The sequence below is a fragment of the Homo sapiens genome, chromosome 18 (genome assembly GCF_000001405.40).
Source record: "Homo sapiens chromosome 18, GRCh38.p14 Primary Assembly".
NCBI lineage: Eukaryota > Metazoa > Chordata > Mammalia > Primates > Hominidae > Homo > Homo sapiens.
This window is the reverse complement of record NC_000018.10, coordinates 64,896,680-64,915,946: the sequence shown is the minus strand read 5'-3', so window position 1 is coordinate 64,915,946 and position 19,267 is coordinate 64,896,680. Positions and strand designations below refer to the sequence as shown.

At 33.0% G+C, this 19,267-nt stretch overlaps 2 long non-coding RNA genes across 5 annotated transcripts in view; one reads left to right on the top strand and one right to left on the bottom strand.

Moving 5' to 3' along the window:
• LOC107985178 (uncharacterized) overlaps positions 1 to 19,267 on the bottom strand; it is a 125,185-nt gene that overhangs the window by 35,696 nt on the left and 70,222 nt on the right. Inside the window, exons 3-4 of the long non-coding RNA XR_001753480.1 lie at positions 5,285 to 5,357; positions 192 to 259 (exon numbers count right to left, since the gene is read on the bottom strand). This is a non-coding gene — a long non-coding RNA (uncharacterized LOC107985178). The remainder of the gene's footprint in view (positions 1 to 191; positions 260 to 5,284; positions 5,358 to 19,267) is intronic.
• Positions 1 to 19,267, top strand: part of LOC101927404 (uncharacterized) — a 121,424-nt gene that overhangs the window by 77,091 nt on the left and 25,066 nt on the right. For 2 of the 4 annotated variants that reach the window (XR_935580.2, XR_935581.2), the window contains exon 4: positions 6,373 to 6,483. The exons of the other annotated variants lie outside the window; for them this stretch is intronic. This is a non-coding gene — a long non-coding RNA (uncharacterized LOC101927404). The remainder of the gene's footprint in view (positions 1 to 6,372; positions 6,484 to 19,267) is intronic. 4 annotated transcript variants of the gene reach the window in all.

Genomic DNA, 19,267 nt, shown 5'->3' with positions numbered 1-19,267 from the left:
GTAAATTTGAAAATCAAAGAAACTACCATATTGCAATCTATATGCAACTGTATATTTTACATGAATTTGTGGTTATCATATAGCTTAAATTGGAAAGTGAGTCCCTAAAAGCATCATTAATTCAGACAAAGTAAATGCCAGAAAATAAATTAGGTGCATATAAAATGAGGAACTGCAAATATATTACTTACTTTTATATTAGTGGAGGCAAGAAGACAAAATGTAACTGAAGAAATGTTTTTCACAGATAACTTACTTCCTGAAAAAAAAGTATTTTCCGTTAACGCTATAGATTTTCTTTATAATTCTCAACAACACTACCTAAGCAGTGTTTTGCAAAGGTGTGGAGGCATCTCTGCTTTTCTCCATAATTGGAGATATAGTCATGGAAAACAGAAATGCTGGACATGTTGGAAAATGTGTCCTCTGCCATTTTCTCATATTCTTGCCAGCATTATGTTGACATATCTGTGTATAATCACATGATAATAAAACATATTTTTACAGCTGTGCATGGTGGCTCACGCCTGTAATCCCAGCACTTTGGGAGGCCAAGGTGGGAGAATCACGAGGTCAGGAGTTCAAGACCAGACTGACCAACATGGTGAAACTTCGTTTCTACTAAAAATACAAAAATTAGCTGGGCAGAGCGGTGGGCACCTGTAATCCAAACAGCTCGGGAGGCTGAGGCAGGAAAATCGCTTGAACCGGGGAGGCGGAGTTTGCAGTGAGCTGAGATCACACCACTGCACTCCAGCCTGGGCGACAAAGTGAGATTGTTGAAAAAAAAAGCATATTTTTACATGTAAACATAGAGACTTTATTGAAGAGTTTTAACATGCAGATGTGTATTGTCAAATAAATCAAGGGAAGATTTCTAAAAAATATATTTGAGATGTTCATCATTTTAGATAAATATATCATTGATACAGCAAACTTATTTCATTAGGGTCATCAATAAACCCTAAACTGTACGAGTTGTTTTTGTGGCTCTCACGTTCAAGTAAATTCCACGTATATTTTAGCAGTGGGCTCAACGTTGGCTGGACATCACAATCATCTGGAAAGCTGTAAAATTCCAATTTCTAGACCACACCACAAATGATTAAAGCAGATCTATGAAACTGTGAAGCCAGTGAAGTGCCACTGCCATCCACATTCACTCCGATGACAAATGTTTACATATGAGTATATATTATTGCAATATATATTGCATTCTTTTTCTTCCTCATTACATAAAACTGAAGACATATACCTTTTTGAACTTACGTGCAAAAGAACATTACCAAATGTTTGCTATAAAATGGTAGCCCAGAATGTAATAGTGAGGAAAACCTTTGATCTGTGGTTTCTCACCACCCCAACATGTGAAATGCTCCAATACAGCCTCATATGGAAGGTTAACTTTAGCATCTTTGGCAAAAACTTTTTAGCAAAACACTAAGTTCATAGGCATATTTTATTTACATTGTTCTGCCACTTTCTGAATATCAGAAGTAAATCTCAATCTCTTTGTATGAAGCATATATCAAGAACTCTCTTTTTTAATAAATGCCTGTCCCTTGTTAAGAAGTTAACAAGATATTCTTTTAGAAATATAAAATGACAGTAAAATTACAAAATACTGTAAGAACTACTTTCCTGGAAAATCTTGGACTTTTTTCTGGAAGAATGGTTTTTTTTTTAATAAAACATAAGAATATGATTAGAAGTATATGTGGAAAAGTAACTTTACAAAATCTAGTCTTAGAGAAAATAATATTTTTCTCTTCATTAAATCTTGTTAAGCCCAATTCTACATAACTTCTTAACTCAAACATTCAGAAAGCTACACTTTGGGAACAACTAGAGTAGTGATAGTTGTTTTTTGTTAGTTAATATTTTAAAAAGTGAGAGAGAAAAGAAGGGGGGAAGAGGAAGCAGAGAGAAAAGAAAACACAAAGAAGGAGGAGAGGAAGGAGGGAGAGAGATTTTAAGGATTATATAATGCAATGTTTATAACAAGCAGACACCATTTTAACTGGAGAAGACATTGGGTAAATCTTTGTTATTGAAATGCTTTCTGAGTCGACTTTTTTTTTTTTTTTTTTTTGAGACAGAGTCTCGCCCCGTCGCTCAGGCTGGAGTGCAGTGGCGCGATCTCGGCTCACTGCAAGCTCCGCCTCCCGGGTTCGCGCCATTCTCCTGCCTCAGCCTCCCGAGTAGCTGGGACTACAGGCGCCCGCCACCACGCCCGGCTAATTTTTTTTGTATTTTTAGTAGAGACGGGGTTTCACCGTGTTAGCCAGGATGGTCTCAATCTCCTGACCTTGTGATCCGCCCACCTCGGCCTCCCAAAGTGCTGGGATTACAGGCTTGAGCCACCGCGCCCGGCCCTGAGTCGACTTTTAAGCATAATATTTCATCCTGTGTGAAGGTGAAGTATTTAACTTTGCTGAGTAGATGACAATACTTCAAGGGAACATGTGTTTACTAACCTGTTTGGAGGAGAGTTAAATAATATCTAGAATGGTGTAAACTGTGATACTCACTGTGGAAAAATATGTAAAAAAATTTTCTTAAAAATTTCCGTTTTATTTACACCATCACTATAATGCATCTCTTTTATAAAGAAATGATTTACACAGACTTGCAATATTTCTACATAATTTAAAGCAAATACTTTTACAGCAGTCCTTTGAAAACTTTAATAGGCCTAAAATTCTGCTGAATGTGGACACATGTTTCAAATGCTTTTGGCCATCTGGGAATGTGGCGTTCTTCATAGGAGCTCTACTCCCGAAACTGCCAGTGCCTTTGCTGCACCAGGCTCCAAAAACCTATTGATAACTATATCATGTTGTGCAGGTGGAAATTGACCTTGATCATATTAGACAAATACATAAAAGGAAGACTGAAGAATACAGGCTACTTAAGACAAAAATATCCATTCCTGAAGATGGGTGGGAAAAGTAGATATTTTAATAGAATGCTCTAGATATTTTCTTCCGCTTTCTGGCACCAAAGTAAAACTTAGGTGCCAAAGTGGCACTTATCTTCAAAGAACCACCTTTTTTTCTCTTATTACCATTGTATGAGAGAAAGTCATTGGCATTTTCATCATGTCTCAAGATTTGTAACATCTACCTAGAGGTATGAATTTGCTTTTCATGCATTTAAATGACTATAAACAGCATTCTTTTGAAATCACCTAATGAGTTCTATGATATGAAAACAGATATGTATCCCCAGAAATAATATATATAATTCTGATTCTATAAGAGAACTATTGGGGCTTTTTTGTGAACATTATTATAGCTCAATATTATCTTTTTGTTTTTCATGGTATTCCAAAGATCATTTAAAGGATGAGGATATGTAAGGTTTTCTTCAGTGCACTTGTCTTTGGTGATAATGCCCTAGTTCACTAGTTCAGTTGCCTATTATGCGACATCCTTTTAGGGATTATTCTGATGTACATAAACATACCCTTGCTAAGTACATACACATATATACCATATGCACACATGCACACCCACCTGCATACAAACACACACAGACACACACACACACAGACACACACACACACATACATTTCTTATCCTGGATTGGAGTTACATGGTACTGGAGGGGGGGTTATGTTTCTAAAAATCCAATAGTAATTAATGGAATAAAAAGTATTCCTTTCTTTATATTGTTTGGCTATTTTAAAATGAATTTTAATACTTTGGATTATAGTTTAATAAAGATGATATGGAAAAGAAATTATTTACTTAAAAAAATCAAAATAATGCAGAAAAAAGTTATTTGTGAGTATTTATGTGAATGTGTGCTGCACTAAATAATGAAGGGTTTTCTATGTCCTTTCTTCCACCTATCTTGAAAATCCACACTCAAAACTTCCTTTCTTATTAAAATGCCCTTGGTAAAAATCCATATAACTCCACTCACTTATTATTTTCTATATATGTAAAGAAATTTTTACATGGTATATAGATAGCAAATACATATTAATGTTTTATGTTTTTAATCTCTTACAATGGACTTTGTGCAATGTCCATAATGATGACCACTTTTGGTATGCAACAGGATGATAAAATGTTTAACTGATGCACCAAAATATAAAAAAAAGGTAGATACTAAAGTAAATTCTGAGAAGAACTATCTAGAACTTGAAAATTATCATAGTGTGATCATAAACAAGTCAGTTAAGACTACAAGAGATAATAATGCTGTACAAAAGCCAGGAGAAATTATTTTCAAGGACAATTTATTTTAGAGGATCTACTAGTGTTTTCAGAGTTACATATCTTCTTCCTGACCCATTTCTTTTAAGTTTTAGATCTGGAAGAATTTTGTTGTTGTTTGGGTGTGCTTTTTTGGAGATGGGGTAAAAGTGCAGACTTTAAAAATAGAACTTATTAAATCCTTTAAATTTTAAAATTTATCTTTAATTGACACATTGTAATTGTGCCTGTTTGTGGAATACATCGTGATGTTTCTAATTTTCATTCAGGAATAATGAAAAAAACCTTGAGACTGACTTATAATTTTATTCTATTTGCTACTTGATCAGAATAAATTATATGTGCATATAGGTAAAGTTACAAGGGTTAAAGAATAGGTACAAAACATCACGAAACCAGCATGCCTCGTTTGATGCAAAATTCCTATAATGACTACAATAGTAATGATAGTGACTATCATTTAAAAATCTCTATGCCCCCAAGAAGTATTCATATTTCATGTCAGTCTTAATAGTAGACATTTATAAATAATAATATTCATCATGAAATGAAGAATAGATTGAAAGAAAGTAAGGATAAACATAAAAGCTTCAAATCATTGTATTCTTATTCCTCTAGATTTTCAACTTATGTCAGTTATGTTCACAGAATATGAAAATTCTATGACCACACATGTTCGGTCAGCCCTGCCCTTTGACAGGTAACTGATAATTTCTCCTCTGTGAGAACACTTTCAGGAATTATTTATTCACAGATTTATTTGTGTCAGATTCAAATGAATGTTTTTTCTATGGTATATTATTTTAGCTTCTAAATTTGTTTTTAGAAGTGATGACATAATCTTGACATACTTTTGTTCATTTATAATTATAGAATTCAGTTTTTCTTTCTTTAGCGTAGCTCTGGTTTATGAATTAAGAGAAAAAATTAGCAAAAATGATATTCATGACTTCTCAGAGTTAAAAGAAATAACTTATAATCTAAAATATTTAATATTTGCAATATTTCACTTACAAAACAATCACACTGCTAATAAAATAAGCTACAATGCCACTTACCATGTATTGGTATAAATTTAATGGCTGTCACAATAAAGATTGAAGCCTCCTGGTAGGATATGGAAAGCAGAGTCTATTCATAGAGAAATTAGAAAATGTCAGCTGTGTGGTTTCCATGGAATAACTTGGCTTTAATTAAACATCTATTCATTAGTAACAAATGCCAAATAACATTAAGCTGTTAGTAGAATATTAATTACATGCTTAAGGACTAATGGTAGCATATTAACAATTAATGGTACTTTAAGAAACTAGATATACTATAGTACATAATTTGTTTAAATTGAAAGCTATTCTACGAGTGTGATTTTTTATTTCCTAATTGAAAAACTCCATAATTATATGCACAATATACATATAATTCTATGTACAATATACATATAATTTTGAAGTTTTTTTCCCCTGAATATCATGGTATATATTTGGGTACTATGTATATGTCCAAATATACCTCTCTTAACTTTAAAAAGCATTCATTACAAATTGTTCTCTTTCTATTCTTGCCTCCCTCTGGAAAAAGGAAACCTCACTTTATGCATAAAATTTCTATTTAAGATGACATGATGGTTGAGTTAATATGAAACCTTAAAAAAGTAAAGTCGAACTATGAAAACACCCATTTTAAAGAACTGTTTCTCCGTCCCAGGGTCTCTCCTTCTGTCTCAATTTTCTCTTCTAACAGAATAGGTATATTTGGTAAAAAATATAGCAGGACAGGACCCAGATTCAACGAAAAGCCAGAGACATCCCACTCTGGAATCTGACACAAAGACTTTCTCATTCAACACAGACAGGCACTGAAATGCCTGCTAGATCTGCTGCCTTGATACTGTGAAAGGACATTTTGAATATTCTTTAATGTGAAGGCAGAGGAAAAGAAAGTAATTATATTTTAGGATTGGGAGCTCTTTTATCGAAAACTCTGTGGACCTGTTTGAACTTTGCCAAAACATTTCTCTTCAAATCAAGTAGAACCTTGTCCATATACTTGGAAACAAATTAACTCTCAAATACAGCCAGATGATGATAGACAGTGTTGTTGACCACACATATGAATCCGTCTTGATCTTTACCTTATAACATTTCAGTTATTCCTACAGATGGAAGGGTGCACTTTCCTGCCCCTTGACTTTGGAATCAGCGAAAGAGATATTAGCAAAAGTGGTATGATGAAACTGACACTCCATATGTGCTTTATGGTAAGGCTTTCTCTCTTGTGCTTGTATCATTGTCATGTACTGCAGAATAAACATGGCCACAAGTGCTCTGACATTCCTTATATAGAGTGGGATATTTATTTCCTTCCTCCTGGTGGGTAAGGGAGAAGCTTAAAAGGGCCCTGGGAGACTGTCACTGAATGGTGGAAGAGCTTCAAGGGGATTATTAACAAGAAATGTAAAAGCAGTGAGGAAAATGTTATTACAAGCAAGAAGGAAGCAACGTGTAATCAGGAACATAGAAAGAGTAACTAATGATCTCTGAGGATTGGCCAAGGATATTTGCAGGCATAATGTTGCAAGTTCCATACTCTTTCTTGACATCTATGATGAATTACAAAAAAATAATGAGATAAAGAAAAAACTGTTCTGTTTTTGGCAGAATTTAGAGTCATTATAAAGGCCCCAAGACATGCTGGGTTTGAAAATAAAATTGTTGCATATTCCTAGTTTCTACCAGAAAAAGACTCTCAAAGTTATAAATGAATACATGCCAGAAATCAAATCAAAGGCTCAACTAGTTATCCATAGCCTGAGAATACAGATATCAAGGATGTGGCTGTAAGATCCTTTCATCAGATCACAAAAAAGATACATGAATTTGCTTAGTAAGGCTTCTAAAAATATAAACTGAATGTCTCCTAGACTCTGCTGCACAAGTGGGTCATTAACCCATTTATGCCAGAGGTTGCAAATTTTTTTGGTGAAAAATGAGACCTTGGAAATTACCTTGAGCAGCAGGATATAAATAACTCCCACAAGCTTAGTGTTCCAATAATGGAAAACTGGGCATAAATGCGTTAAGATTTGTCAAATCATGCTTCCATGTCAATATGAAATGCTTTTACAAAGAAAGATTTTATGGCCCCAAGATATCATATCTTATAAGTAAAGCTAGAGAAGTTACTCTATCAAAACAAGTGGTTTGGTTTCGGCTAATTGAATTAATTTGATACACAGGAAACCAATCAACATTTTAAAGCCATTGTATCAGATTAGATGCAAAATGCAGAGATAGTTTAAAATGAAAAGAGGCCTTTGTAACCTTGGTATTATTTCTACAGGAAGTAAACAGGCTGAGAATAATACTCAGCTGCTGTAAACATAGACCACTTATTAGTAAAATTAAAAATAACTCATAAGGCCGTGGGGAGTAGTACTGTGTCCTAATCAAGAAACTACAATATCAAATGAAGTAGATTTCTGAATTACCACGAATCCATGACTGCTATGTACCTTCATATCACTCCTTTCAGAATTAGAATACCTGTTGTAATTTTCATGTCTCTCTCTTGTCATTATTATGTTGATTTTATGAAGGGAAAAAATTCACCTAATTTGTTTCACATAACAGGAATCATAAACAGGGATCAATTCACCTAATTTCTCCTTACATAAACAGGAATCATATGTGAGGAAGCACCCCTGGATAGTCTAAATCCACTTGATTTAAATAATAAAATCCTGTATTTGAGTTAATTATGTAAGAGAGTGAGGCTTTGGGGGCCTTTGGAGAAGAAAGTACATTTTGTATAAGGGAGGAATTTTAAATACATGGCCACAGTTTGAGCTTCTGTGGATTAAAAGTGGTTAAGTATTCTTATGCACTTCTCTTAGCAAGATCTGCACACTATTTCATCTTGCCATTGATTGTGTGAGGGCTTGGGGTTACTTTTGACCCTGTCACAATAGAATCAAACAGTCATGTCCTATTGGAAGTCCTTACAATCAAAACCATGACATATAGAACATCAGCCTTGTGGTAGTTTGTTACACAGTATTTACATTATTAAATAACTAGAAAATTATAGAAAGGCATTAAGATAGTTTGTGTACGCACACACTCAAAAACACCTCATAGATATTGATTTTGGATTGTTTTAAATCTATAAATCTGTGGTGGGAGAATAGACATTTTCATTATTGAGTCTTATAAAGTATGAATACAGGCCTTCTTTATTTCTTTCAAAAATACTTTATAGTTTCCTTTAGACCTCTTGCGTCTCTGATTTTTGTGTTGTTGATATTATAATTTTTCCTTATTTCTTATTTGTAGAAATAGATTTTTAATAAGTATTGGCCTTGTAGTCAACAGTTTTATTTAATTCACTTAGTAATTCTAAAAGTTATTCTGTAGCTACTATTGAGTATTCTCTATATGTAATCATGTAAGTTGTAAATAATTACTTTATTTCTTTAGGCACAATTCCTTACATATTTAATTGTATTTGCTTTCTCTGGGACTGGTTAGGATTTTCAGCACCCTGGCAAATATAAGCAATAATGCAGAAATCATTGTCTTATTCAAAGTCTTAGAAGGAAGCTTTTAATATTTTAATATTAAATATTATGTATGCCTTTTTATCTCATTAAGGACTGTCCCTCTTAATGTTAGTTTTATAATTTTTTTTTAAAAAGAGAATTGGTGAATTTTAACATTTTTAAACTTTTTTTTCTATGTCTGTGATGATGAGCATTTAGCATTTTTCTGATTTTTGGAACTTAAACCAACCTTGCATTCCTGGAATAATCACCGCTCAGTCTTGCTATATTCTTCTTTTTATATTTATTGTTGGATTTGATTTGCTTTTTCAAAAAACTGTTTCTTTGCTTCATTCTAAATGAAAGAATTGGGCTTTGATTTTTAATGTTAACATCTTCATTAGGATTATTTTCAATATTTGTGATCCTCATAAAACAAGTTAGAAAAACTGCATTTTCCTTAAAATTTTGTTTTTTTTTAAAGTGTTACTTCTTTACTATTTGGAAAACTTTGATTATGGGAAGGTTTTCACTTAAAGATTTGATTTATTTAATAGATATGTAAAGTAAAATGTTCTATTTTTTGTGTTGTTCTTGCTAAGTAACGTTTTTCAGTGAATTTGTTCAAGTGTAATAGCAAAGTGTAATATCCATGTATTATCTTTTTAATACTTGTTGGTCTATAGGATCTATACAAATGTTATTTTTTAAGGTTTTTTAATTATGAATTTTCTTAAAATTTGGAAGCCAGAAGAGGGAGGATTGGTAAAGAAATGTTTATTTCTGGGATGCATTTGAACTGACCTGGTAGACTTTCAATGTGTCAGGTTTGTGGCAGCTTTCTGTGGGTGACAGAAAAACTTTGTAATGGCAAGTCTAAGAAGCTAACTATTTCATCCTCCATAGAGCACAAAATTATGACAATAAGGGAAGGGAAACACATTAAGGAAACACAATAAGGAAAGAGCCACATGGCTTCTTCACAGAGTGTCCCCAGATGGAGTGGACACATTTAAACCATAATTGGAAACACATCTCACTGAATGTTACACTTGTGAAGTGAAGGTGTTAAGAGGTGGGGCCTTTAACAGGTAATTAGGCCATTCATCCATTCCTCGTGAATCGAGTTAGGTCTTTATAAAAGGGGCTTCACACAGAGTTGAGCTCACTTGACTGTTTGTCATTGACCATGCAAATACACAGCCTTCCTCTTCTCTGGAAGATTCAGCCCTCACCAGACAACTGAACCTGCTGGCACCTTGATCTGGGACTTCGCAGTCTCCAGATCTGTGAGAAAATAAATTTCTGTTCTTTACCCAGCTTCAGGCATTTTGTTGTAGCCGCACAATGGACTAAAGCAGGTCCTAAATATTTTAGTAAAATTTCTGTTTAATATTTAATATTTAAATTAATATTTTACTTAAATTTCAGGCTATTTTTAAATGAACATAAGCAACTCAAATTCCCTTAAGTAGCATATATAGTTTAACTTATTTATGCCTAGGAAAATACTATAATGAGAAGTTAGAAATTTTGATTATATAGATATAAACACTCTCACGTAGATTGTTTAAGGCAGTGAAAAAACTGAATGGATGGAACCGGGTGGTTGTCATTCAGAACTATTGAATCCAAAACTCAACAGAGACTTATCTGTCCCTACAACAGGTGCTAAATAATAATTGACATTCCCAAATATGATTCTGTTATAAGACAAGGAAGGAATATACAGCTGATACTTGGGGGAAAATAAATATGTATCAAAAGAGTTTTGAAGCAGGAATAGTAAAATTGAGTAATATGTTCAAATTTAAAAATTTGTATATGTTCCAAACAAAGTCATGTGTCATCTTCAACTTAAACTTTTCCTCACATAAAAGATTAAACAATTGCTCCTAATAGTCTTTAATGTACTTTCTGTATCTTGAGTTCTCAGTTATTCCCATCATTAACTTTGATAACATCAGTACTGTGTCCAAGATAGTATTTTTGACTCTTTAACTGACCATGATAAATATAAGGAGAATGAGACTTAAGTGCACTGACTATATCTCCATTCCTTTGATTAAAATTTTTTTTAAAAATTGAATTGTAATGGAACAATGCAAACCTGCAGAAAACTTTTTGCATGCTATTTTTCATCTGAAAGTAAAATAATACCTGAATACTCTTTGTCTCACCAGCTTTTTACAGAATGAATGGCACTTACAGGGCTATTTTTTCTCTGTAATTATTGAGAAAGATTTTAAGGCAAAGCATTTAGGAGCTAAAGCCTGCATGATTTTGCTTCTGTGTGGGGAGAAAAGAAACCCACATCCTTACTTGGTAAAGAACTTAAGGGACAAAATAATAATAATAGATTCTAGGAAAATATTTAAAAAACCCTCAAAACTAAAATGTATTAACATTATTCAAAATTTATGAATTGTTGGTCCTTTTACAAAATGAAGCAAAAATTAAAACAATCCAAGAAAGAAATACAATCTAGTTCAACAACTTATACACATGCCAGTGGGTTCAATGAAGCACCATGAGGAACAAGGGAACAAGCACTGAGTTCATCTAATTCAGGGATAGCATTCCCTAGAGATTTGGACGAGATACTTACTGCATTATAACTTTTGGTAAAGAAATAAAATAAAATACATTATTATTAATATTATCACTCAAATATCAGGCTTTTTGATATCTTCATAGTTTGTATGACTATAGTTTATACACAGCATTGATTAATAAGAAATAATTTTCTCAACAACCACATAAGTGAAATGCATAATTGAGATTTTGCAATCAGAGATAGGAAAAAGGTTGTCTGAGGAAGGGTACTCCAATATGTGAAAATCAATCTGTATTTATTAAATCTACATGCTGCTACTTTGGAATGTTTACAAAATGTTGTTAAAAATGGTCTCCGTTTAAATATGTTTATTGTTTCTCTAATTTTTAACTAGTCAGCTTAACTGATACTCAAAACTCTCTACAAATTTTATTCAACATTATATTTTTATCTTTACAAGTTTTTCTTGTAAATTAATTGTGGGGTATTTTACTACATCATTAAAATCAAAGTAGACTTTTTTAGTTTTTATCTATGTTTCAACAATCTTAGATCCTATCGATAAAAATCAACTAACTTCTAATACTACATTATTTGTGTGTATGTGTGTGTGCATGTATACTAATAGTATAATACTTAATATAAATTAAATATTTTAAATGTTCATTATTATTACTTGTTTAGTACATAAGTTGTTTAAATATGTATTCTAACATTTATTATTTGCTAAAACACATAACAGAATATGTAGCATCTTAACAATTATTAATTGTACAGTCCAGTGATAAGTTCATAATGTTGTCTAATCATCACCATTATCCATTTCCAGAACTCCTTTAATCTATTTCCTCCTTCTTCTAAATGTTGGGAACCACCAGGCTTTCTGTTTCTATTACTTTGACTCTTCCAGAACATTATGTATGTTGAATCATATAGTATTTGCCTTTTTATGGCTGGCCTATTTCACTTAAGTGTAATGTCCTAGAGGTTAATTCATGTCTTAGCATATGTCAGAGTCAGAATTTCCTTCCTTTTTTTTTTTTTGGAGGAAGTCTGGTTCTACCACCCAAGCTGGAGTTCAGTGGCACGATCTCGGCTCACTGTAACCTCTACCTCCTGGGTTCAAGTGATTCTCCCACCTCAGTCTCCTGGGTAGTTGAGACTATAGGCATGCACCACCACACCAGGCTAATTTTTGTATTTTAGTAGAGATGGGGTTTCCCCATGTTGGCCAGGCTGGTCTTGAACTCCTGACCTCAAGTGATCCACCAGCCTCAGCCTCCCAAAGTGTTGGGATTACAGGCATGAGCCACTGCTCCTGGCCAGAATGTCCTTCTTTTGTATGTATATATCACATTGTTTTTATAAATTCGTCTGTGTATGATAGACAAGGGTTGCTTACACATTTTAGTTATTGGAAATAATTCTGGTGTGAACATTGGTATACAGATATTCTTTTGAAATTCTTTCTAGTCTATATTCAGAAATGGAATTGCTGGATTGTATGGTAATTCTGTTTTTAATTTTTTGAGGAACTGGCATACTGTTTTAATTTTAATTTTTATTTTTGAGGTTCTGTGTTTGTTTTTCAAATTTTATTTCAATAGTTCTGGGGAAACAGGTAATTTTTGGTTACATGGAAAAGTTCTTAAGTGGTGATTTCTGAGATTTTGGTGCACCCATCACCTGAGCACTGTACACTGTACTCAGTGTGTAGTCTTATGTCTCACCCCTCTCTCACCCTTTCCGCCAAGTCCCCAAATTTCAGTATATCTCTCTTATGCCTTTGAGTCCTCATAACTTACTCCCACTTATAAGTGGGAATATACAATATTTGGTTTTCCATTCCTGAATTACTTCACTTAGAATAGTGGTCTCCAACTCCATCCAGGTTGTTGTGAATGCTATTATTTCACTTCTTTTATGGCTGAGTAGTATTTCATCGGATGCATATATATATATATATATATATATATATATATGTCACATTTTCTTTATTCACTTGTTGGTTGATGGGCATTTAGGCTGGTTCTAAATTTTTACAATTGCTAATTGTGCTACTATAAACATTTCTGTGCAAGTGTCTTTTTCATATAATGACTTTTTTTCCTCCAGGTAGATACTCAGAAGTGGGATTGCTGGATGAAATAGTAGTTCCACTTTTAGTTCTTTAAGGAATTTCTCTACTGTTTTCCATAGAGGTTGCACTAGTTTATATTCCCAGCAACAATGTAAAAACTTGCCCTTTTCACCACATTCATGTTGTCTTTTATTTTTTGCTTTTTCAATTATGGCTGTTCTTGCAGGAGTAAAGTAGTATCTCACTGTGGTTTTAATTTGCATTTCCCTGACATTTAATGATGTTGAGAATCTTTTTCATATATTTTTTGGACATTTGTATATCTTCTTTTGAGAATTGTCTATTCATTCTCTTTGCTCACTTTTGGATCAGATTATTTGCTTTTTTCTTGCTGATTTGTCTTAGTTCCTTGTAGATTCTGGATATTAGTTCTTTATTGCATGCATAGTTTATGAATATTTTCTCCTGCTCTGTGGGTTGTTTGTTTACTCTGCTGTTTATTTTGTTGTGCAGAAGCTTTTTAGTTTAATTAGGTCTCATCTATTTATATTTGTTTTTGTTGCATTTGCTTTTGGGTTCATGGTCATAAAACTTTTTGCTTAAGCCAATGTCTACAAGAGTTTTTTAATGTTGTCTTCTAGAATGTTTATGGTGTCAGATCTTACATTTAAGTCTTTGATCCACTTTGAGTTGATTTTTGTATACGGTGAGAAATGAGGATCCAGTTTTGTTTTTCTACACGTGGCTTGACAATTATTCCAGTACCATTTGTTTAATAGGGTGTCCTTTCCCCACTTTATGTTTTTGTTTGCTTTGTCAAAGATCAGTTGACTGTAAGTATGTGTGTTTATTTCTGGGTTCTCTATTCTGTTCCATTGGTCTATGTAGCTATTTTTATACCAGGACCATGTTGTTTTGGTAACTATAGCCTTGTAGTATAGTTTGAAGTTGGGTGACTTGATGCCTCCAGATTTGTTCTTCTTGCCTTGGAGATGTGGGTTATTTTGCTCCATATGAATTTTAGGATTGTTTTTCCTAGTTCTGTGAAGAATGATGATGGTATCTTGATTTCACTAGCTAGTTATTACTAATAATATGGCTATAACTATTAATGTACAAGTCCTTGGGTAAACATATGCTTTCACTTCTCTCAGATATCACTCTAAGAGTTAATTTGATGAATCATATGTAGCTCTATGTATAAAATTTTGAGAAACTGTCAGACTTTCTAAAATAGCAGCACCATTTTACATTCCTACCAGCGACATAGTAAAGTTCCAATTTCTCCACATCCTCACTAATACTTGCTATTGTCTGTCTTTTAAATTTTAGCCATCCTAGCACATATGAAGTGTTATCTTTTGGTCTTTATTAGAATATTATTATAAACTTAAATATAAACATATCATATGACCCAACAATCACATTCCTAGGTATTTATTCAATTTAAAAAAAACTTAAATAAGTATTTACAAAAATATTTATAGCCATCCTAAGCCAAACAATGATTTGAGGAATGAAGCCTGAAATCCTCCAGCTCTGAGGATTACCTACCTCTGAAGGGTTGGTCAGAGAAAATAAAAGTGAACAAACAATCCTTTTTTCTATAAGCCACTGTTAAAACTAATTCTGAACCTAATCATAACTAATACAAGGCTTATCTAAATTAAAATAATTATGCATTTTTTGTTGCTAACTAGCATTGTAATAGTAAAAATTATTTACAGTTTATTATGTACAAGGTGCAGAGTTTGGCACTTTATAGACATTATCTTATTTAATCCTCATAATAATATACAAGGGATATAATATTATTGCTTATCTCTTATATTTGATAAATTTGAGGCTTAAAGAATATAAGTAGGCTGCTGTAAATCATACAGCTAAACCCATGTCTTCTGATGACAAAGTCTGTGCTTCTAAATCTAGCTTGGTGCAAACATAATTGTGGTTTTTGCCATCAATTTTAATGGTAGAAACCGCAACTACTTTTGCACCAACCTAATATACTATGTCACAGAGCCCTACTAAATTGTATCACATATCAAGTTTTGTGCTAAGTAATGAGGATCGTGGGATAAACAAACAAAAAGAGGCACATTTCTTGACATTGAGATTACATGTTTCTCTGTGTAATAAAGAAATATAGTATTTTTAGATAGAAATTGCTTAATTATCAGTCTCTTTGGTACAAAAGCTATAAATATCTCCCTCCATGCTTAATTCAGTTAAACTGAATAATTCCTATGATGATTTGATCACTCATACAAATGGAGGTACAGGGACTGGTTGAGGGAGAATGGGGTGATATTGGTCAAAAGGTACAAACTGTCAGTTATGCAAGATGAATAAGCTCTGAAAATGTAGTGAACAGCCTAGTAATGAGGGTTAATGAAATTCTATTGTATACTCGAAATTTACTAGAGAATAGATCATAAATTAAATATTATCTATATTTAATATTATCAAATACACATTATCAATATTATCAATACACATACATAAATGTACAAAATGCTAACTTTTAGAGGTAATGGATATGGTAATTTGATTGTGGGGATCTTTTCATAGCATATACAGATATTACAAGATCACTTAATACACCTTGAATATATGAAATTTTCTATGTCAAAGATAACTCAGTAAAGCTGTTGAAAAAAAAAAAAGAACATCTGGAAAGACAAAAGAGAAGCCCTGGTTTCAAAATCTAGTAATCTGTAATACAAGTTATATTACATAAAATGCTACATTATGTGCAATGCTGCTTTATTGAAGTTTTAAAAGCTGGGATGGTATATCACAAATCTGTATTTGAAGTACAATTAATTTCTATTAAAACCTGATCAGTAATTTGATAACAGTTTGCTATTACTTGCTTTCTTGTGATAGTGGCATAGTCAGAAATCTGAAATGTGCTGATAATTTAACTCAACATTCTGACCATGTTTGACATTTTTTCTGATCACCTTGACGGATTTTCTCACTTGAATGAAAGAAAGTGAAAAGATGGAAATTATAAGGGCTGTGAGAATTGCAGAAGCAACTGTCCGAAAGGCAAAAATTTTTTAAAAAAAGGACTTAAAAAAACTTATTTTAAGAAAAGACTTTTTATCATAGAACAAGACTCTAACTACATAATTGAGATTGTAGAAAAATGATACATCAAAGAATGATCTCTTTTTCTTATTTGTCATTTTCACATTAATTAAATAGCAGTAAAATAAAAAATATTAAATGACAAGTAACATTTTATAAGAAGTTACATTTTAGAAAATATCTTCATGGACATCAACAATAGTGATGAGGGACGCTTTCATTTTGAAGTTTAAGAAACTAAGGTCCCAGGAGAGATTAAGTGACTTCAAGGTCAAATAAAAAGTAAGAGTACAACTTAGATGTAAGCCTGGTCTTGACATCAAAATCCACACAACAGACTTGTGTTTATGCCACCATTGCAAAGGAGTATCAAAATATGAGTTCATATCTAGAAAGTCTAGCTTGTGCCATTAGCTTTTTCCCCCAGATAATTAACTAACAAGCCTCTATTAGGGTTAGAGTGAATCTGTTAAAATAATTTACATTAAACAATTTCTATTGAAAAGTATAATTTCAATCTCAAGACTAAATATATCAAAATGTAAAAGAGTAGAATTCAGACATATTGACTGATGGTGACAAAGTGAATGTCTTCCAAATCTTTATGTTGATTAGATTGTGGATGTTGATTTACAAATTAGGAGGTTTCACAAATTTCTCAAAACTTGATGTTGATAAAGCATCTTTATATATGTAAACTAATGTATGGAATTATAGCTTTTGCATGGCTTTAATCCTGTATTTTTCAAAATAGTAAACTAAGTATACAGATAACTAAGTTTTACTGTGCACAAGTCTTTTTACATCCATTATTTGAAAAGACTGTATAGAACTGATTTACATAATTTGTAGATGTGTTAATTTTCTATTGTTGCTCAATGAATTATCCCAAATTCAGTAGCTTAACATTTATTATCTAGTTTCTGTGGGACAGGAGTCACAAAACAGCTTGGCTTAGTCATCTAGGATCTTCCGTGGCTTCAACCAAGGTGACAGCCTGCTGTGTTTCTTCCTAGGACCTGAGGTTCTCTTTCTATCTCCACGGTTGGCAGAATTCATTCTTTTGCAGTTCTGAGACTGAGGTCCTATTTTCTTGCTGGCTGTCACGCAGACATTACTGTCAGCTCTAAGAGACATTCCCCACTCTGAGTTCTTTGCCATGTGAAACTCCCAAAGATTCTCACACCATGTGAGACCTAACTTCTTCAAAAATAGCAAGAGACTCTCTTCACTTCTGTAAGGTTGAGTCTTTTGTAAAGTAACATAATCATGAGAGGGCCACCCCATCACTTTTGCTATAGAAGCATACCTCATTTTATTGTGCTTTGTTTTATTGTGCTTCACAGATACTGCATTTTTTACAAAGTGAAAATTTGTGGCAACCCTACATCAAGCAAGTCTTCGGGCATTGTTTGTTCAACATCATGTGCTCACTTCTTATCTCTGTGTCACACTGTGGTATTCTTAGACTATTTTAAACTTTTCATTGTGATTATATCTGTTATAATAATCTGTGATCAGTGATCTTTGGTGTTACCCATTATAATTGTTTTGGAACACCATGAATCATGACCATATAAAATGTCAAACTTAATCAATCAATATTGTATGTTCTTACTGCTCCATCGACAGGATGTTCCTTCCTCTCTCCCCCTCCTCGGGCCCTCCTATTCCCTAAGACACAACGACATTGAAATCAGGCCAGTTAATAACCTTGCAATGGCGTGTAAAAGTCTAAGGGAAAGAAAGAAATATACTTCTCTCACTTTACTTCAAAAGCCAGAAATGATAATATTTAGTGAGAAAGGCAAGTCAAACATGAAGATAGGCTGAAAACTAGGCTTCTTGCATCAAAAAATTAGCAAGTTGTGAACACAAAGAAAAAGTTCTTGACAAAAATTAAAAGTGAGTTACTTACCACATAAACTATAAAGTCTATAATCATCTTTATACAGTCTTTACCAGTTAATACATGCAAAAAGACTTTGCATATTAAAACTTAGTAACTATTAGTCATTTATTTCAGCAAGCATAAGAGTGATAAGAAAGTGAAACAGTCTTATTGTTGACATGGAGAGCGTTTTAGTGGTCTAGATGGATGATCAATTCAGCCACAACATTCCCTTAAGCCAAATTCTAATCCAGACCTAACTCTCTTCAATTCTATGAAGACTGAGAGACGTGAGAAAGATGCAGAAGGAAAGTCAAAAGCTAGCAGAGGTTGGTTCATGAGGTTTAAGAAGCCATATCCATAACATAAAAGTGCAAGGTGAAGCAGAAAGTGCGGATGTAGGAACTGTAGCAAATTATCCAAAAGCTCTTCATAAGATAATTGATAAATGTCAAACTTAATCAGTCAATGTTGTATGTTCTTACTGGCTACACTAAACAAAAGATTTTCATTGAAAAAAAAAAACAGCCTTACATTGGAAGAATATGTCATCTAGGACTTTCATAGCAAGAGAGGAGAAATCAATTTCTGGCTATAAAGTTTCAAATGACAGGCGGCTCTCTTGTTAGGGGCTAGGGTAGGTGGTGCTTTTAAATTGAAGCCAATGCTCATTTACCATTCAAAAAATCCTAGTGTTCTAAAATTCAGGCTAACTCTACTCAGCCTGTGCTCTCTAAATAGAACAACAAAGCCTGGATGATAGCACATCTGTTTATAGCATGATTTACTGAATATTTTAAGATGATTGCTGAGATCTACTGCTCAGGAAAAAAAGAAAAAGATTTCATTCAAAATATTACTGTTCATTGACAATGTACCT